Raw genomic sequence first — 22,933 nt, 5'->3', positions numbered from 1 at the left:
CTCAATTACCTAACCCAGAGGTCAGATATGGCTTCACTAAGGAGGTGACGTGTTTTAGAAATTTAGCAAATATACCTGTAATGACTCTCTTCAGGGAGTTAGCACTACATAGTGTACTCCTTCATAGAACTATCTCTAGATTTGACCTGAATATTTTTTTTAAAAGCTCTGGTTAAATACCTCTAGTGCGACTTCATGTTATTTTGAGGCTCTCTGTTGGTTAGGAATTTAATATTCTGTTACATTCTTAATAATTCTTCTGACATGTTATACATTTTTATTTATGTAGTGTTATGCTTTATTTCTCTGAAAATTAATTGATGTATTTATGAAACATGAGGTATATTGTGAAAGCCTTTATTCCTTTATGTACTAGTATATGTCAAATGAGCTTTGAAGTGATTTTTTTTTTACCTTTTGTAAAACATGTAACAATATACTAATCCATTAGTAAATGGCACACTTATGTTAAGCTTGTGATTATTCGAAAGAGAATACACCAGAAAAAAAAAAGAAGAGTGACAAATAGAGCATAAACCTTTGTCATTCTACAGAAATAGCTTTGGAGATATTGGTGAATCATGAGAGCTAAAAATACTACTAATCTTGATACCATCATCTAAGCTCTCTAATTAAACTGTCTCACATAATACTGTGTGATAATCCTATATGGTAAACAACTGGCAAAACCATGAAATATCAGATTCCAGAGAATCATGAGTAGAAGTCAATGGCAAGAGTGAGAACCTATTCCATACAATTTTCACAAATGATATTGAATATAAGAAATGCAGTGTAAAAGTACTAAATTACACGCAAGTTTCCCTGACCTGCCTTATGGAATTCACCATTTCTAATAAGTCAGGGCTTCTGTTCTTGACTCAAGTCTTTTTTTCACATGACCAAGTTATTGAACAATTACTTTACACAGAACATTTAGATTTTAAGAAAAGGTCAAGAATTATTGCTCTTGGAGATGTCTGTTAACTTTGTAATTTTTCCCTTTTGATATTGAAGCAATAAAGTAGAATTTGTGATTATTTTAATAAAATTAAATATAATATAAAGAGAACTAGTGGTTTCTAGCTGTTAATTCCAAAGATATATTACTATAATTATTGACTATATGTCAAAATACAAATATATCTTCTGTTATATAATCATGTATCACAATTAAATATTTGAACAGAAAATGTATGTATTTTAATCCAGACAACTATTTTGACAATTGTTGAAGACATATGCACTCTAAATTGTAAGAGTATATACCATAATTCAGAAGGAAGTACTACATTTTCAGAATTCTCCATCTCCTTTTAGTATAATTTTGTTTAAAAAGGTAGTGGAAGAAGTAATTTACTAAAAAATTAATGAAATCATGATATAGATATTAAGGCAAAGCCAATGTATAAACTTAACTATTATATTTTTCATGTGAAAAGTGGAATGTTTAACCATATTGAATAGCACTTAGGCTGTTATAGCTGCAAGCACAATGCTTTTGAGTTAGTCACTCAACACATTTCATCAACAAACAGAAAACTATTTAAAAGTTTGGACAACCTATGCCATTTGAGGCCATAACTTAGAAGGAAAATTTATAAAGCAAAGATGTAATGGAAATAACAATCAAAAAGCAATGCATCTTATCTTGCTAAAAATTGTTTTCTCTAAATTCTAACTTTGTGAAATATTTTATAGCATTCAACACTAATATATGATAAGAGTAGGATTTCAGTCTGGGAAAATCAAAAACCTTAAAACCTTATTGATTCTATGTCTAGACATTATCTTTTAACATCTGTAGCATGAGAAGATTCACTTTCTAGCCTCTTATTTAAACAGCTGCTAACTTAAACTGCAAAATAATCATGTTGAAAAATGGCAAAAGGAATAGTCATACTCTTATAAGGTTGTAACTCCCCTTTCTGTAATTGCTGATATTTGGCAAGTATTACCCTTTGTTTTGCTGTGCCATAGGTAGTATGCTCATTATGGTGAAATGAAATGAAAGCATAAAGGAAATGTTCAAGCATCAGATACCTCCTTTATCATTGGTGTTCATCCACTCACAAATGTTTATTTAATAAGTTCTTATACAATGCTTGATTATTCCTAAGTAATATAAAGATAAATCATTCACCCCTTAGCTTTTAGATATTCTGTTTATTTAGATGCATGTAAAACTAGTTTTCTTATCAGTCTTTTGAACATTTACCCAAAAGGGTAATTTAACTTAAATGTTGAAAAAAAATTGATTCTAAAAATATTGTCTGATCCATTCCACCTGGTATCCATCTGTGACAGTATGTCTTCACAATCTGTCATCTGCTTTTATCCTGTATGTTCTTAACCACTTCATTTGGGTGCAATCTTTGAACTGATTTTTTCCCTTCCTTATTTCTGGTGTTCTGGTTAGTATAAATTGACATTTTCAAATCTTTAGTCAGGTTTTGGGATGATGTATACTAATTAATTAGGAAGATGTAATGTACCATCAGCTCTCTATACATATTCGTTTATAGCACCATTAATATAGAGGTAGAATCAATCATTATATTCTAGTTTTTCATTTCCTTTGTAAGAACTTTCAATGCATTTTTATTTGGAAATGTATACATTTACTTTATCATCATTTCCTATGAGAAAACAGTACTTCACTTCTAAATTTCTAAATTCTTTCAGATTGAAATATATGCACACATAGGTGTTGAGTCTAATACTTTGTAGCGCTTGTCATTACAGTTGCCTCTCAGTATCAAGGGGGGTGAGTTACAGGATCCCCTTGGATACCAGCATCCACAGATGCTTAAGTCCCTTATATAAAATGGCATATATAGTATTTGCATATAAACTATACACATCCTTTTCTATACTTTAAATAATCTCTAGATTACTTACAATATCTAATACAGTGTAAATTCTAGGCATGTAGTTGTTATATTGTGTTGTTTTTAAAATTTGTATTTTTGTATTGTTGCATTATTTTTTGTTATTTTTTTCCCCAAATATTTATTATCCATGGTTGGGTTAATCCATGGATGCAGAACCAGTGGATACAGAGAGCTGACTGTGCTTTTTCTTTTTTTTTTTCTTTTTGAGACAGAGTCTCACTCTGTCGCCCAGGCTGGAGTGCAGTGGCGCGATCTGGGCTCACTGCAAGCTCCGCCTCCTGGGTTCACAGCATTCTCCTGCCTCAGCCTCCTGAGTAGCTGGGACTACAGGCTCCCGCCGCCACGGCTGGCTAAGTTTTTTTTTCTTTTTTTTTTTTTTGTATTTTTCGTAGAGACAGGGTTTCACCATGTTAGCCAGGATGGTCTCGATCTCCTGACCTCGTGATCCACCTGCCTCGGCTTCCCAAAGTGCTGGGATTACAGGCGTGAGCCACCGCGCCTTGCCGACTGTGCTTTTTCTGAGTTCACTCTGAATATTAAGGTACTTTACAGTTTTGCCTAGTTTATAACTTGAAAAATGTAAAGTAGTATATGTACATATAAATAAGTTTTCACCTTTAGTTTTGTCGTGCCCCTCCATAGGTCATAAATCAAATGAATTAGTATGTCTTAGAGACATATGAAATGTAATAGGAAACCAAATGTACAGAAGGGTGTGTGAATATATATGTGTATTTATGCTCATAATAAAAGAAAACAAAAGATGTAATATCCCATTGTTTTTAAATCAGTGTTTTTGCTTACTCTACAATTGTTTAAATATTTAAAAGAGAGCCAGTAAGAAATAAATTGAAATTATTTTTCATAAGAATCAGTGATATTTCTGTTTTCCAATAGAAATGTTAATTATTAGAATTTATTTTAATAGTGGCCTGTCTAGTTCCAAATTACCAACAGAAATGAAAGTATTGTGTACTTACTGTATGGCAATTCTCAGTAATCTAAAACTAGAATATTACTTTTTTGGGTTTGGGTAGGTCATGTATTTAAAGAGAGATAGTTTCTTAAATAATCCAGAGCAGGAAAAAACTATTATTCTTTAAATTTTTGCCTTGGAAACAACCCTGAAATGATAGTTTTGTTATAACTTATAATTCTCAGCTTAGTTGTTTTCCTTCTCTTGGACCTTTTCTCCCCTGTGTTCAGAGAAGGTATTCAATTATATGCTCCTAAAATGCTTTTAATTTCATTCGTATACTTTTTGTTGTTACTGTATTAAGGATGCTTACAGAATCATGTTAAAATCATCTAAAGTATTAGTCTAAACATGGCTGTGCAGTTGTCTCCCTGTGCAGCATAACAGGGAGACTTAAAGACTGAAAGCCAGTGAAGTGTCTCTCCTTACTTCTGTAGCCAAGGCTGCACTCCCCTCTACTAAGAATGTGCCACATCAGTCCTATTGCTCTGATGACTATGAAAAATTTACTAAGTGGTGTCAGTGAATTAACCTTTGGTAAGTGGGATGGTGTCACCAGATGCATAATGCTGGAGGATGGATAAGATTCCTTCATTCGTCCATTCAATAAACATAGATTAACCTCCTGCTATGTGCTGGACATTGTGCTAGGCTTTGGGAATCCATGGATACATATATTATAATCCCTGAACTTGAGGGTTTCACGGTGAGTTAGAGGACACATGCATAAAGAAATAATTATGGCAGTGTGAATGACATAGTGGTGGTATGTTGTATTGAGTGAAACTGTTCTCCTAAGTAGCCTTAAGAGCTCAGAAAAGATGGAGGAGGCAAAGCGTTTAACTGATTCATGAAGAATGGATGTTGCTCTTTTAAAAAGAATGAAACTATATAGGGTTATTCTTTACATATGTAGCTACTTTTTCTGCAGAGTTTGTTTTAACAGACAATTAAATGATATTCTGCTACTGGCTACGTTGTCTTTTTGCAAAATTCTATGGATGCAAAGTTAGTAGGATAATGGATACAAAGAGATGTGGCAAATTATTTATTTGGGTGTGGAGGTAAAAATCAGCAATTAATTAACTGGTTTTCTCTTATGAAGGAGTAGAAAGTATGAAAATACAGTCAGAATTCTTACTAGTTTATTTCTAAAAATTCTATGTATCTTGCAAGTGTGTGTGTGTGTGTGTGTGTGTGTGTGTGTGTGTGGCCTTTATTTTTCTTTTCTTTTCTTTCTTTTTCTTTGCCAGCTCTTTTTTTTAAAAAAGAAAGGATTGAGCTCAACAACATTTTTCTAAGCATTTATTCTGCTTGTTATTTTCTTTTATTTCTAAGAATTAAGGATTGAGTGAATACACTCATTGTCCTGACGCATCCATTTAATATGTCATGCTTCAGGGTAAACTGATTTCTTTATGATCTCCAGAAAATTTTCCACTGACATAACAGAAATGATTATTTACCTCCCCACATGTTCAAACTGCCTTAACCTGCTTTAGGGTTATTTGCTTCACAAGACTTAGTATTGATCCACATTTTATAACTGACTAAATAAGGAAACAGAGTCTTCACCAAACAGCTAGAACGATTGCTTTAACTGACAATTTTGCTTTAATCATTTTTAAAATTATCGCAGAAAACTGATAGTGAAAAGCCCATGTCTTGGACTGCTTTGCATAGAAGTATAGCTCTTTATTTTAGGAAATTAAGATGAAATTAATTATCTTCTTTTTAGCTGTGGATTTTTCAAGGCTTGCACCACAAATATATAGATTTAAATATATTATGGGAGAAAAATTAATTATTGACAAGCCACTCACAAGATAGTCCAATTTTAATCCTTCGAATTGGACTAAAGTTGCAATTTTTATTAACTTGAAGTAACCTGACCTTATAGAATATTCTTATATTGCCAGATCCTTCATTAGCCTCATTGAAAATCAAGCCAATAACTGCCACAGATAGCTCTCCAGTTTATATATAAAATTGGTCAATAATGTGTCCCTGCACACTTCCTGCATGTCTACCTGTGCTGAGTAGTTTTCTCATTTCACATTGATGAAATGCTACAGCTTTGGCAGGAAAGGTGACTTCAGAATTTATAGTCACCTCTGAAATAGGAGATAATTGGGCATGCTGTAAAAGATACAAGTTAAGGTACAATGTTTATAATTTATATAAGTAATTTACTATTAAATATCAGAAATTTAATTAGCTTAAGCTCATAATCAACTGATTATCCATACCATTTGAAGCCAGTGGTCAAAAGGATAATGTAGTGTTTAGAGATCCTCATTATTTGTCTTTTTAGCTGATATACCTTTTTGGTACATTGCCTGCCTGACACAGTAATAGATACACAGTATGCAAATAATAATAATTTGGTCGAGGAATGAATACTGGGCTATATTTGGTTAATAACTAATTTGTATTTCTTATTTGCTTACACATTTGGGAATAGGGAAAGTGGTTCAGAGGTTGTCTGGGGTAGAAACTACAGTGGGATCAAAACTTTGCTTGGAAATTGACATTGTAAAATAGTCACAGTACTTAACTAATTATTGAGTGCTTAGTCTATGCCAGGCAGCATACTAAGTTCTTCACGTGAACTATGCACTGTAATTCATAACAATCTTATAAGATAGTCTTATTATTATTTTCTCTATTTTATATATGGGAAAACTGGACTCAGAACTTGAGCAAATTTGTAAAGACCACACAGTGAATACGTACTAGGAGAGCAGCCAGTCTTATAATTTGTGTGTGTGTGTGTTCTAACAGTCTTATAATTGATATAAAGAACAAGCCATCCTACCTCTTTAGGATCATTGAAGTGAGACCTTATATAGTGAGACTGACAATGTCTATCATTCAAAATATGAATTTTATCTTTTGAAAAATGTGTTAAAATTATGTAACAGCAAATGTAATGTTACTTAAAAAGGGGAATTATCACTCATATTTTTTAACATAGAGCCTACACTCTCTGACCTTTCTCAGTAGGTTTTCATAATGAGAATGTATAATAAAACTGATGTGCAAAATTTATGATACTTTAGTAAATATGAGAACAATTTGAAAATAAACTTGGCAGTGGCATAAATGCTATTGAAAATTGTGCCTCCTGTCTGAAATCTTCCAAACACTAATTGTGGGGTAAGAACTCTCCTAATTGTTGCCTCTTGTTCATAAAGACATGTCCTCAAAGAAGATTTTTAGTAGAATAAAATGGTGCTGTGTCACAAATAAGCCAGACTTTTAAGTTCCTACAAATAAATAATTTAATGTTTGAGTTTATTAAGCTAACTTCCTCTAATTTAAGTATTTTTAGTCCATGGGAACCCCAGAATAATACTGTTTTGTCACAGACTTGAATTAGAACTAAAAGTACTTTATTTTACTGCTTTTCCTGTCCAGCTACTAGATCCTGAGATTTCATAGTTCATTTTTTTTAATCTATGGGGTGAACTCTCAGAGTAAACCTATGAGGACATTATTGAGTGACATCCAGAAGGGTTTGCATTTCATTTTGAATCTTTCCTTTTTTGCACAAGTTGATTCTTTTTAATAATTTACATGACTTAAAAATTCTATTTCTGGATACTTACCTGCATGAACCAAAATGAATGTGCACATCTTCGGAAACACAGACAAGGTTCAGCAACAATGGCACGGTGAAAGCGAGAGGTAAACCGGTTGGCAGACGGATCTCTGACAAGAATCAGACACCATCAGGGGTGCCGTGTGGATGCAGGACAGCCCCTGTAGAACCTGTTTTTTAACACTGTTGCTTGCTAAGGCATCTCTGAAAGACTAAGTGGGTGTACTGTATGTTTCTATATGGTATATTTGTAGGGGCGGTTAGGCTGATGATGGTAGAAACATGCATTTTTTAAAGACAGCATTTCAATTAAAACAATTGGAAGGTAGTTTAGCAGCTAGACATTTCATTACTGTGTTCTTGTTATAAACAATCATTTGCAGATAGAAATATAAATAAAAACTACTATGTCTGTAGCACGTTAGAGTTAACAAGGAAATAAGGAAGTAGAAGCCTAATGTGAAGTGGCTTTGCCCCAATTGTATGCTAGTAAATGGTGGAGTGTATTTGAACATAGATCCTTTGAATTAAAATCTGAATCTCTTTCACTGTATCATATTACCTCTTCAACACAGGCTCGTATTTATAAAGTAGAATACATAACAAGACAAAAATAATACTAGAATATTCTAACTTGACTTTTTTTTTCTTTTTTATCATTTGGATAATGACATCAGAATTATAGTGATCATTTGATGAAATAAAGAGTCATAACTCCAGACCTCAACCAGATTCTTAACATATTCTAAGCTGAAAATTTAAGTAAAGATGTGTTCACATAATGCTTTGTTTTATTTCATTTTACATTCTAAACTTTAGAAACGAAACTTTTTAAAGCTTCTTATTTTACATGTTTTTCTTTTCCACTATATGTTATTAATAAAACATCAAATAATTAAATAACACAAATTAATAACAAACACACACGTAAAATGCCTTGAAATGAGTTTTTCTTGTTAGTTTTAAAAATCCCCATGTTATCATCGAGCACTTAAGTACCTGTTATGAAAAACTTTATATTCTGCATGCTGTCTTTTCTAAACTCTTGCATGTTAGTTCCAGGGTGATAGGGATGTTGTTCCACAAACCATAATGTACTCATTACATCATGTTGTTTTTATCCTCCCTGCTCGCTGTTCATTCTCAACGTGAAAAATCATAGAATATTAGTGACAGGAGGTCTGTATTTTAGGCAGACTTTTGTAATTATTCCCACTGAGGCATAGTCAATAGGATTAAAACACAGATTCTGGATCTGTCCATCCCAGATGAGGTCAGTTCTTTGAGCAGTGGGAGTACTATTTCTATAAGCTGTGCTTTCCCCTTTGCCTTATAGAAACATAGATATTAATATGACACAAATATTTGAAAGCTCCTATGGAAACAGACTGGCTTTGCCTGAATTAAGATGAATATTCATCTGCAATAAATAAAATAACAGCATTCATTAGAATTCTTAACTACGTTTGTATGTAGATTTTACAACAATGTTAAAGCCCAGAAAGTTTCAATTACAGAACAATCTACTTACAGTTCATAATTAATAAACTCTTTACAGCTGCATAACTGTGGCCAGCAACATCTGCAAAGCCTTATATTTTACACACAGACATACATAATTCCTTCAGAAAATGTTCAGTTGTGCTTAAAATCACAGGTCTGGAAATGGGGTAAGACCTGAGGAAGCTGAGTCAAGTTGTATTCCTTTAGCTCAAGGGAGAGAAGTGGAGAGATGGGAGAAGGAAACCAGACCTCATCTGGCAAAGTAATGTGGATGAAAAATAAAAATGTTTAATATCTATTCAGAAATTCAATCACAAATATTTCTATAAAATGTATCAAAAATCTCCTCTAAATATAAGCTTGGTTTTGGTAAGACTGTTTTTTAAGTGATAAAATTATTACTCCTCAGATAAAAGATAAGCTATTATTTATGAAACTCCAAAAATACATACTAAATTAACAAATAGGTTAAAACAATACCTTGATAATAGATTTCTAATAGTCTTAAAAGTAATCCATAGGTAATTTCTTTTTTTAGTTTTTAATTTTTGTGAGTACACAGTAGTTGTACATAGGTAATTTCTTTTACCTAAATGCAACTTTATAAAATTTGATGCATATAGAGTATATATGTTAGAAAAATAAACTAATATAAGCAAATAAAATTTACTATTTTTTCTTAATGTTTGCCTGTTTAAGTGTTCAGATTTGAAGGTACATTACTGATGAATTTTTTTTTTTTTTTTTTTTGAGACGGAGTTTCGCTCCTGTCGCCTAAGCCCCACGCTGGATGGAGTGCAGTGGCACCATCTCGGCTCACTGCAGCCTTCACCTCCCGGGTTCAAGTGATTCTCCTGCTTCAGCCTTCCGAGTAGCTGGGGTTACAGGTGCCTGCCACCACGCCTGGCTAATGTTTGTATTTTTAGTAGAGACAGGATTTCGTCATGTTGGCCAGGGTGGTCTCAAACTCCTGACCTCAGGTGATCTACCTGCCTTGGCCTCCCAAAGTGCTGGGATTACAGGCATGAGCCACCGTGCCCGGCCCTGATGGATTTTATAATGAGAGCTTTATTAAGATATAATTCACATATCATACAATTCCCCCATTAAAGTGTACAATATATGGATTTTTGTTATAGTCACAGAGTTGTACAACTGTCACCGCAAATCATTTTTAGAACATTGTAATTACCCCAAATATAAGCCTTATATCTATCAACAGTCAAATGCCATTTTTGCTTACTACCCCATCCCCTGAAAACTGGTAATCTATTTTCTACATCTATAGATTTGCCTATTTAGGATATTTTATGTAAATTGAATCGTACAATATGTAGTCTTTTATGATTGGATTCTCTTATGTAGCATGTTTTAAAGATTCATCCATGTTGTTTTATGTGTCTGTATTTAACTCCTTTTAATTGGTGGATTATATTCCATTGTTCTAATTCATTCAGTAGTTGATGGACATTAGGTTGTTTCCACTTTTTGGCTATTACAAATAATTCCACTATGAACATTAATGTACAGGTTTTTGTGTGCATGTATGTTTTCATTTATCTTGAGTATATACCTAGGAGTAGAATATACTACTTGGGTCATGTAGTAACAATGTTTATTCTTTTGAGGAACTGGTAGTCTTTTTGAAAGTGGCTGCACCATTTTACATTCCCACAAGCAGTGTAGGAGAGTTCTAATTCCTCCATATTTTCACCAACACTTGTTATCTTTTTGGTTATAGCCATCCTAGTAGATGTGTGGTTTTGATCTGCATTTTCCTAATGGCTAATGATGTTGAACATCTTTTTAAGTGCTCAGTAGCCTTTGGCACATCATTTTTTATGTGTTTATTACTCATTTGTAAAGCTTTCATGGAGAAACATCAATTCAGATTCCTTGCATATTTTTGATTGGCTTATTGATGGATTTTAATTTTTGCACTTTTTAAAAATTATTGATAATATCTAATTTTACCTCCTCAGTGTTATAGGGGAGATATTTTATTATCATGTATTCTTTAGAGACTTTGATAGTCCAAGAAAATACCTGGAACCTCCAGGATGTTGGTTCTGAACACCTATACAATTTTTTTAAAATATAGAAATGTCTAGGCCCTAATAATGATTTAATTATTTGGATAGAGTCAAGACATTAGTGTCCTATCAAAGCCTTCCTAATGTTCAGCCATGGAGGATAGCCAAGCAAGATATGGATTATCAGTGCCTTAATGTTCAGGATGGTGTGAAGTATGTCTGAGATAAAAGTTGGTGCTTAAGAGTTCCAAAAAATCAGTCCATTAAGGATCAGGAAATCTTTTTTTGGCTGTAAAAGAACTCTAGAAGTAGGTGGATTTTCTAGCAACAAGATTGTCGGAAGGGGGATCCTTAGAAATATAATCAGGTAAGATTTCTCCCAAGCATGCAATTATAGGTCATAAACCTAAAAAACTGGACCAAGTATGGGTATCTGTGCCCTCATTCAGGAAGAAGATACATTCCATTTCTACTTAATTGCTTAAGTTAAAGAGGCATGGGAATGTATGGCTTTTGGGTGGCCTTTAGGATTGTTCATTTACAGTTGTTATACCAGTACCCTGATTGGTCCACTGACTGCATAATGCAAGTATAGTCTCAGTGGCCTGGCATCCCATTGCTTAAACAAAACATCTATTGAAGACAACTATGGATTATGTGATTGTTAGGAGAATTTAATGGAGAATCAGCATAGAAGGTTTTGGTATCAACTCTCTTGTATATTTAAATAATTTGATTTCAGAATTTTGGTGCTTTTTTATTCTTAAATAATTTATAAATGGGAAACCTGATTGCCTTTCATGTTCTTTGTTAAAAATTTTAAATTAAAAATATTATTTAAATCAACTTTGTGGGACAATATTTAAATAGTTGAGATTAAATACAATAAACTACATTTATTTCATAACAGTAATATAGCAGATCTTATGACTTAATGTGTTGTAATATAATTTAGTAGATATATTGCAGTAAATAATACTATTACTCTGGTATATAGAAGTTTCATGTATCTCCTAGATTTCCTTTTTCTTTGGTGGTTTTGCATTTAAAGAACAGACTAAGCAAAAACTTGCTTAACATATGAAATCTGACAAGATTACAGGTTTTAACTCTAGGATAATGAGCTTATTTTATTCATTAAGGCCCTAAGGACTAAAAGAACAGTCAAAAGAATCAATCCTAGGCCTTCATGGTATCATGTAAAAATACTGTTATTAAAATAAGAGGTGAAATATTATTTTTACAAAAGTAATTAAATATTTAAAACAATTTTTATACATATCCCTAATTTTTATCAATATAGTGAATGTTCAGTTAGAAAAGCAAAAACATCAAAAGACACAAAGTTACAATGCTATATTTTGTAATGTCACTAACTTTATCCATAGGGTACATACTATATCAAAGGGCACATGCTATATCAATTAAAGTTTGCTTTGAATTCATGTGCTATTGAACAGATTGAGAAATAAAGCAGAGGAAAAATTTGTAAAACTGCTGTTGCACAATTCCTAGAATGTTGTTGTATACTACATAATTATGTATGAAGGGAATTTAAGGTTTCAGAAGGCATTTACCTCTGAAGACTTTTTACTAGTAGTTTCCAGAAAACCAGCTGCATTTAGAGAGAGGAGAAATTGCCTGGATTTCCAAGTAGCTTTTCTGGGAGTAGTTGGTGAGCTCGTCTAACTTTCCTGTATGTATGTATCTCTCAGATATGCCACTTTACCCTGCTTTATCTCATTGAGTATTTAACTCTAAGTATTTCGTGTAGATATCTTATCACAATTTCTAATGTTAAGAGCATCTGTTACTGCTTTCCCAAGCTTTTTCCACCCAGTAGATCACTGTTATTATAAGAGGTACTGCTTTTGTTTTTTTTGCATGTTCTTGGCTTTACTCTCAACACCATTGCTCCAGCGCTTTTGTACTTACTTTTAATAACTCTAAATTGGTAGTTTCCTTTGAGATCAAATGAAAACTGGCTTGCTTCAACTTATTATTTTCAATATTAACTGAACTGAGACAGAATATTACTTCAAAGAAAAAATGTTAAGACTTTTATGATCACATTTTTCCGGTATTGCCTTTATCTATTTAATGATAGTCATACATATATTCCATAATTGTGCAGGTATCATCAGTGTCAAAATTCATAGTGAAATTGACAATATCTGTTTAATATCTCTTCTTAAGGTATGTTGGGATATTATTTCATAGCTTTCTAAGTTAAAGTAATAGCTTTCAATTAGTAAAAATGTATAATAAAAATAATAAGGATCCATTGAAAATTAAGTTTTAGGGTAGCTAAAGCCCTTGAGTCCCATTACGTAAGTGTCAAACTTTGGCTCTTTTAACAGTAAATGATGATGGTAGAATAGCATAAGGCTGAGTGTCAGTAGTCCTGTGTTTTAAATCCAGTTTTATCCTAGACAAACAGAATTATTGGAAGAACTCAGGTTACTTTTGCTTTAAATCTGTTTTCCCATCTGTTAAAAGGGTAACAAAATTCAACGTAATTTGAAAGTTAAGTGATAAGAGTTTGAAATTTCTCTGCATTAGTATCATATAGATTCTTGAAATCATGTAAGTTGAGCAAGGAATGCACCTCATTTGTGGAAAAAGGGGAATTAGCCTTTATTTAGAGGCTTTTATTTGCAATGGGAGAATGAGAATTCTGAGGAATTCCACTAGTAAACATCATTTTGGAAATGTTAAATCGTGTTGCCATTGTCCCCCCATAACCTCCTTGCCCTGTAAAACAGTAAACATACACACAATGTCATCAAAAACTTGTCAGCACACACCTCTTATTTGTCTGTATGTCTACTTTGGTTGTTTGTTTTACTTGTCCAGGCCTTAATGTCTCAGACAGCGAGTTGTGAGTAAAGCATTGCTTTCTCTGTTTTATGGAATGTTGTCTCTGATCTTTGAATTACAAATAATACATAAAGCAAGATACAATGAATATTTTAAAAAAGAAGAATTTCCATCCCGAGAAATCTAAGCTAAACCCTTTATCCTTTCTGTTAACCATATTTTTTAATGTGACAAGATCATATATTTAGAAACATTTTAAGGTTGTATATTTTTGTTATGTTTAGTAATCAATATCATTGTTCTCTCTATGCCTTATATTTGCAATAATTGCTATTGAAAACAAGTGAAGATGCATTATGCATCTTTGCTTAATGTTTTTGTAACTGCTTTCCTCTTGTATTAATTGAGAAGCCAACTAAAGACAACATAGCCAACTGGCTTCTGAGGGCAGTAGTGGGTCATAAATTTACAATGAGATGGTTGTAGCCCTGTATAAATCTATCTGTCTATCTCTATCTATCTATCTATCTATCTATCTATCTATCTATCTATCTATCTCTCTCTCTCTCTCTCTCTCTATCATCTATTGATCGATGGATCTATATTCACAACATAACATACCTTTAAATTGAGTCTTTAAATTATATAAAATACCTATCTTGTTAATGTAAATCTACTTTCTTGATGCCCCCTAAATTATTTTGAGCTCCCAAATATATCAAAATTGTGCATTAAAATTCAGCATTTGAACAGAAGTTAAGGGATGACTCAACTGTTTTCTGGAAACTATGACATCTCAGTACTTTAGGATTGTTCTTGCTTTCCATGCCCCGCAGAGTGAAAAATGTGGTTAATTTTTTGCATAATACCCAAGTGGAGAATATTAAATGAACTTTCAGCCAATAAATTAAATGCTAAATTTTTATTTATGTTAAATTTTCACTAACTTTTCTTTACAGATATGATTTTCTTTTAGCTAAATATGAAGGTTACTGAAATTTAAGTAGATGTTTATTTAATAAATATGAAGAATAGATTGAATGTCTTCAATATATAATATATTATATTAATAAAAATTATTGAAATAATGTAAAAATAACTTGCTAAATTTTCATTGAAAATAAATATAAATATATGAAATGTCCAGTGATATTAAATGGTACACTGTTACTGGATTTAATTATAGAATCTAAATGAATAAGAGCAACTTCATTAGGAGGTGGCAGAAATGCTCGCTGTCCATCTCTGTTCGTTGCTGAGAAAAGTTGCTGTGTTAGTGTGATTGCACCCTAACCCTCTCTCGGCAGAGGACAAACAGGGCCATAATCTACTTGCCGTTGATGGCTTTCCCCTTGTTTCTGGTGGTGCAGCCATCTCCTATTCATAGGATTTCATTATTTTTAGTAACAAAGAAGTTCACTTAGTGGAAACCAGCCTGCCTTATAACTTAAATTGGTTGAAATTCTATCTTGGAGTTTCCTGAAAATTTGGGAAAATATATTTCTATCATTTTCAGGTGAAAAATTTTACATAGTTATTTATTTCTAGTCTGGTAATTAAAGTTACATTAATGTTTTTCAACATGAACCAAATCAACATGTCAAAAGTTAGTTTAAAGCTATATTATATTAAGAAAACATAACTTGAAGTGTTCTAATGCAGACCAACAAACAGTTAATTATGTTGAAATCCAAGTTAAATTTGAATTATATATCGGAATTAAATGTTCTAAGGTTTTGGCTAAATAAATTATGCCTGTATTCAGTTTTCTGCTCCAGACTTTGGCCTGGTGCCAACTGCAGGTGCAAGTTTGCTGTATCATTTTGTTTGTATTATTTTGTTTTAAGATGAACTATCATAACATTTGGCTAGTGAAATACCCTAAAATGAATATTTTATCATCAAGAGCTTGTTTTACATACATCACATTTAATATTTGATTCCTTGCTAAATAATACAATTTTTTTTTAAAGATCGATTTGCTCTCATGTCTCAATTTTTGCTTTCTTTTGCATTCCCAGCCTGTGGCCGTGGGTTCTACAAGTCTTCCTCTCAAGATCTTCAGTGCTCTCGTTGTCCAACTCACAGTTTTTCTGATAAAGAAGGCTCCTCCAGATGTGAATGTGAAGATGGGTATTACAGGGCTCCATCTGACCCACCATACGTTGCGTGCACAAGTGAGTTGTATTATGAAAGTAAAGGACTTTCCAATCCCTTCCACTCATTTGTACTGTTGTGACATCAATGAAATAGATATTGAATTTGTGATACATTCTTAATTATACTTAAATATTAAAATTATTTTAAAATATTAAGATAAAATTTTCTTTCATAAGCAGATAGGTTTAGTAATATAAATATATCTTACATCAACTTTGGTGTTATTTCCGTGTCTGCAAAATTAAGATGCATTTTAATATTTTTCACATGTATCTCATAAGAATCATAAGTAAAATTAAAAGTTATTAGGGTCAGTCAGGCAGGGTGGCTCATGCCTGTAATCCCAGCACTTTGGGAGGCCAAGGCGGGTGGATCATAATCACCTGAGGTCAGGAGTTCGAGACTAGCCTGGCCAACATGGTGAAACCCCGTCTCTACCAAAAATACAAAAATTAGCTGGGAGTGGTGGCGCCCACCTGTAATCCCAGCTACGCGGAAGACTGAAGCAGGAGAATCACTTGAACCTGGGAGGCGGAGGTTGCAGTGAGCCGAGATTGTGCCACTACACTCCAGCTTGGACAATAAGAATGAAACCTCGTCTCAAAAAAAAAAAAAAAGTTATTAGGGTCTTGCATGGATATTAAATGTTATTAAAAAGTAATGGTTTCTGAATTAAAATTCCATTACTAAATAGAGCAGACCTCACTAAATAGAGCAAATCTCACATCTTGGTTCTTCAATTAATGAATGTTTGAGAGATCCAAATCCAAAGCCAATCTCAGGCATTGCTATAAATCATTCTTGAGTACATTAAAATGAATAAATGTATTCCCTGTTATGTGGTTAAAAGGAGAACTATTTTTAAACTACTGCACAGCTGTTTTTTTTAGGTGCATTAACTGTACTGTTTTAATTGCTTGGAAGAAAAATAGTTAAAGACTGTGGCAAAAGTACAAAGACAGTTGTTATCCTGTTTTCATTTTGACGTATTAAAAGGAAAATAAATAAAGCCTCTTGCCAAGTGAATTCAAGGAGGCTTTTATACAGCTTCTCTAGTAAAGGTAATGAAATGTTTATGTGAAAGAAAGCATTTCAACTCGTTTTCTCTTTGGTAATTGAGCCACTAGCTTAATGCCCCACACAGATCCTTTTGTTCTTTTTGTTTGTATGTTTTTTTTTCTATTTTTGCTTATTTACTTATTTATTCTTGGTTTCCCAAGGGCCTCCATCTGCACCACAGAACCTCATTTTCAACATCAACCAAACCACAGTAAGTTTGGAATGGAGTCCTCCTGCAGACAATGGGGGAAGAAACGATGTGACCTACAGAATATTGTGTAAGCGGTGCAGTTGGGAGCAGGGCGAATGTGTTCCCTGTGGGAGTAACATTGGATACATGCCCCAGCAGACTGGATTAGAGGATAACTATGTCACTGTCATGGACCTGCTAGCCCACGCTAATTATACTTTTGAAGTTGAAGCTGTAAATGGAGTTTCTGACTTAAGCCGATCCCAGAGGCTCTTTGCTGCTGTCAGTATCACCACTGGTCAAGCAGGTATGTTTTGTGTTTATCTTCACTGAATGAAATAATGTGACTACCTAAGTGAGGTGTCTTACTTGAACATTTAGTTAGTTTCTCTGCACAGAGCTTGATTCTTCCAGCTTGTTGATTATTTACAGCTTTAACTTTTCCTGTTGCTTGTTACACCATTAGTGTACTCATTAACATCTTCAGAGATCTGGCAGGAGAAATAAAAGGAGATAAAATTGGCCAGGCGCGGTGGCTCACACCTGTAATCCCAGCATTTTGGGAGGCCGAGGCGGGCAGATCACAAGGTCAGCAGTTCAAGACCAGCCTGGGCAACAAGAAACCCCATCTCTACTAAAAATACAAGAATTAGCCGGGCATGGTGGTGCACACCTGTAGTCCCAGTTACTTGAGAGGCTGAGGCAGGAGAATCACTTGAACCTGGGAGGCAGAAGTTGCAGTGAGCCGAGATCGTGCCACTGCACTCCAGCATGGGTGACAGACTAAGACTCTTGTCTCTGGAAAAAAAAAAACAGGAGATAAAATTGTAAACCCTTAAGACTGCTATAAAACAAATAACTCCACTGAAAGATCTAGAGGAGGGGAGTGAAAATAGTGGTCAAAATGAAGTAAAGGATGTATTCACACTTTTACCTTTTTGTTTGTTATGCTCATGATCATAAACTACATGATAATTAGGAATAATGAAAGAGTTGGCTTCATTGTCTCACATAATGTTACCCAATTTTTTACTACATAGACTATGATCTTTGTAATACATGACGAGTCTGCATTTTAATATGCATGAGGGAATTTTAAGTTCATCAGTAGATTTGTGATCATATTAATTTGCATTTTTATATTCGAATAAATGGCAGATTTCATGAGGATTTCAGAAGAAATGGCATAACCATGATAATAGTGCACTTGTAGCTTAGCCTAAAGGTAGTTTACACTTATTTTCTTACTGGCACTTGAAATGCCCTCCTTAACTTATTCTTTGTTGTGGTTAGTTATGTTTTGGAAAATACGAATTGGAGACTTTCTAAACCTTCAGAAAAATCTTACTGCTGAAGGAAATCTCAGAAATTAGGGGCTTTCTCAGTCTTTTCAAAAATTCTTATTGCTGAAGATAGATGCTATGTAGTAAATGCAACAAAGTGCTACGTTATCAACAATATTAAAATCGGGCCTTTACTAGAGTAGTGTGTTGTGTGAACAATGTAACAAGCTAATAACAAGGTCCTCTTGGTCTTTGGCTGGCTGTCTAAAAGCAACCAGTGTTATCCCAAATTCCTGGACACAGACTAATCTATTCTTCATTTCCATGCTAATTTTAACCAACTGTTACCTATTTAGATTATATCTACATAATGAAAACTATGTATATGATCTCAGACTTACCATTTTTTAACAAATTAGTGGGTTTTTATTCTAAAGGTTTCATTCTGATGCTTATTTCAAAGGCTGTTTGAATCAGATCTCCTATTTATAAGAGCAGATATCGGGAGGTAAAACATAGAAATGTAAATCTTTAATAATTAGACAAAAAATAAGTGATTTAGCTAATTACCTGGACTTACCTATTTTACTTTGGACTTACCTCTTTTATTAGACATATTTATCCTATTTATTTTAAAATGCTGTTGTCATAAGATAGTTCCACTTGCGTTGTTTTATATATAAATTTGTTGTCATAACTTTGCAGTGAGTGGATTTGAAACGTTTTTAGGTTTATGATTTTGACATAAGAGCTATCTTTTGGAAGCATTAATATAAACTTGGTTCTACTAAGTTAGAATGACATTCTTTTATTCCTGCTAATATCAAGAAGTGACATTTTTATTTTTGAATATAACCAGGAGATGCTGAACTGATACCAGAAATAGTGTTTGTCAAATTGGCCACTTTGGGGATGTCTTTTCATGTTCCTAAAATGTCTATTGTTTGATTTCTCAAGTTAATACTATACAGGCTAAATATATTATCAAATTTCTGTAAGTTTCTGGAATCAAATATTTCGCAGTTGTTATGTAAAATGGCTTTGGATGTTGACTCCCTTCTGGTTAAGAACAAACTAGGTTGGCTGGAGGGTTTTTTTTTTTTTTTTGCTTTATTTGTGGGGGAGGTTGATTTAAATGTACAATAAATATATTGTGATGATTGTACAACAATCCTGTAAATATACTAAAAATACTTAATCGTATATTAAAATGAGTACATTTTATGCTATTTAAATTATACCTCGATGAAAAGAAAAAATGATAAAAAGAATACCTATACATTTATTAAATAACATAAACATAAATAAAGGTTAAAAAACTAGGTTTGCAGTTTTGTATTAAAATACTAATTCATGATTGCCTAGTCTGACTACATCTCAAATGCTAAAACTCATGAATTTACAGTTAACTTTTTCTAACAGAGAAAATTTGGAATGTGTTAGTGATTATTGTTCTTTTGTGTGAGTATACTCAGTTCCCTCCATTACCATATTTTTGCTCTTCCTAAAGGGGGGTGATTTGAGACTTTGTCCGAGTTCAAAACTATCCAAGGAACCCTGTAAAACCCTTGAAATTATCATTCTCCATTAAACAAATAGCATCATTTCCAACCTAGTTCATGCTGAAATCACTTCAACAATGAATTTAAGTCTATATTTCTGGTTGGTTATCTTCCTCCTCAGCAATCCACTGATGCCTAGCATAAAAGGGTTTATTAAGAGAATTTCATGTTTCTGGGAAAGCTTAGAGAGTCAGGATAACAAATAATCAGCCAGTGCTTGAAAGGTAGTGTGTGTACTTTGTAGTTCCTTTTCTGTTAAGTTTTGAGTTTGGAGCACAAGACCCTTTACCAGTATTTGTGTGAGTAGAAGTGTATTGAATATCCTTTGCTCACAGGAAGAATAGGGCCATTGGTATCAAGGGCCCTGAGTTCTAGTTTCTAGTCTACCACTATGAGGTATATACATTTTGGGTTGATCACTAAACTCCTCATGAAAAAAAAAATGGGGATAAAATAATATCTACCTTCCTGTATTATCATGTTAAGTGAGATGATGTTAGAGGAAACTAAACTCATACATTGCCATAAAAATGCTAATGCAGTGAATAGCAAAATGAATGCCAATTAGTCCTCTTTTTATGTAACTCTTTGGGAACCTGTCAAGGCAAAATGGACCAATTTCTTTATCTGCAGAAGCATGAGGGAAAATAATGTGAGTGCAGAATTGGCAGTTAACGTATTATAACATTGGAAGAGGGAGAAATTAATTTTGTTTGGCCTGTAAAAAATATGACTTATCTAGTTATCAATTATCTTATGATAGAGGTTCTTATGTAAATCTTAGCTTTAAGATAGATTTGTATTGAAAAGCATATTTTAATATTCATATTTATATACTTTTAATATTTACTTATCATGAACATGCCATACACAAGCTGGCTGAACCATACATTTTTGTTCTTGTTGTTTTGTTAGTAATTATATTGACCTATTAAGGCTGAAGTCACAAAGATCAAGTTACGTACAACGGAGATATTTTTTAAAATATAGAAGTAGGGGGAAAACATATGTATTTAATTTATGACATTATGACCCTTATTCTTCCTTATATTTAAAAGTTCTCTTTAAAAAATGCCTTTTTTAACCTTTTATGTTAAGTTCAGTGGTACATGTGCAGGTTTGTTACATAGGCAAACTTGTGTCATGGGAATTAGTTGTATAGATTATTTCATCACCCAGGTATTAAGCCTACTGCCCATTTGTTATTTTTGCTAATCCTCTCCCTCTGGCCACCCTCCACCCCACAGTAGGCCCCAGTGTGTGTTGTTCCCTTCTGTGTGTCCCTGTGTTCTCATCATTTAGCTCCCACTTATAAGTAAGAACATGTGGTATTTGGTTTTCTCTTCCTGTGTTAGTTTGCTAAGGATAATGCCCACCCACTTCATCCATGTCACTGCAAAGGACACGATCTTGTTCTTTTTTGTGGCTGTGTAGTATTCCATAGTTTTCCATTCTTAAGCACTATTTAAGTGCTGCTTTTTAATATTAGTTTGTCCAACTACACTAAGTACCTAGTGCATGTCAAGCACTATGGGGGATGCTAAGGATAGGAAGGTAAAGAATGGTTCTCTTCTTAAGTATCTAACAATAGAACACTTTATTATAATGTTGTAGAACAACATTGGGAACAAAATACAAAACTCTGAAGAATGATTCATTCAGAGAACAAATGAAAGCCCTTCCATAAAAGATGTTAGTCAGTCTAGAGTTTCAGAATGGATGTGATTTTGCTAGATGTAAGAGTATAAAAGTAAATCCTATTCTAGGCCCTGAAGAATACTACCCCTTTTCTGTAATCAGAACATGGTAATTGCCACTACCTTCCTTCCTGAGACTAAGTATCGTAGCACAGAAGTAGTATGCAGAAGTATGAACGTTAATAAAAACAGATCACTCAAAAAATGCTGTTTCTTTCTTTAATACTTCATTCACTCTGGGATTATTTAAGCAATTGTAATATGTGGTCTCTCCTCAAAGGGAAATAAATGACTTAGCAATTATCCTTCAAATCAGGAACTGTGTCATGTTTATCTGTGTCACCACCATCAAATACAGTCTTTTCTGCATACTAGCTGTACAAAAAATGTTGTGGAATTAGGCCAATGGGAAAACCAGAAAAATTAAATCATTATACAAGAGTGAAACCATTAAGGCATTAATAGAAAAGACTTATTATTTGATATTAGATGACATAATTACATGATTTTAGACAAGTTACTTCACCTCTTTATACTAGAATTTTCTCCTCAAGTGGTACACTATTTGACTCGTCATATTGTAAAAATTGAGCAAATAGCTTAATTCCAGGTACATTTATTAGAATAAAAAGGTGTGTTACTGTCCTGAAACAATTATAAGAGCAGTAATTAAAATATTACTATTTATTGAACACTTACTATGTTCCTGGTACTTTTTGAAATGTAAAATGTGCATGAAAAGAGTGTCAAAGTTGAGTCACCTTTTTTGGCCTCATATTTTCCCCATAGGCAACGGAGAGATTTGGGACATAAGACCTCTCAGACCTCCACATATATTTATAACTAAATAAATAAAGTAGTAACTCAGTATAGAGTACAAACGTATCACTATGCTACACTATTCACTGTACACTATTAATAGGTGAGTGATACTGTACATATACTACAGTTCTTAATGAGAGTGATAACTATTTTAACGCTCTGGAAAGCATCTGGAAGGAATTAGGATGAAAACTGAAACCTCTTGAAAGAGGTTAGGGATAGTTTCTCAAGTTGGGCTCCCCAGGAAGCAAATACTTATATGGAGATTAGCGTGCATGAGTTTTATTAGGAAGAATGTTTGGGATCAACACCATCAGAGAGAAGGGAAGC

The 22,933-nt window shown here is 33.3% G+C and overlaps 1 protein-coding gene across 12 annotated transcripts in view; it reads left to right on the top strand.

Annotated features, from left to right (window-relative positions):
• Positions 1-22,933, top strand: part of EPHA7 (EPH receptor A7) — a 179,540-nt gene that overhangs the window by 45,297 nt on the left and 111,310 nt on the right. For all 12 annotated transcript variants that reach the window (NR_164810.1, NM_001376466.1, NM_001288629.2 and 9 more), the window contains exons 4-5: positions 15,852-16,007; positions 17,211-17,546. Coding sequence is in view for 11 of the 12 variants with exons in the window: in NM_001376466.1 (NP_001363395.1) it covers positions 15,852-16,007; positions 17,211-17,546 (492 nt within the window). In the remaining variant the exon portion in view is untranslated. The remainder of the gene's footprint in view (positions 1-15,851; positions 16,008-17,210; positions 17,547-22,933) is intronic.

This window comes from Homo sapiens, chromosome 6 (assembly GCF_000001405.40).
Source record: "Homo sapiens chromosome 6, GRCh38.p14 Primary Assembly".
Classification (NCBI taxonomy): domain Eukaryota; kingdom Metazoa; phylum Chordata; class Mammalia; order Primates; family Hominidae; genus Homo; species Homo sapiens.
This window is presented reverse-complemented; position numbering and strand designations above follow the sequence as displayed.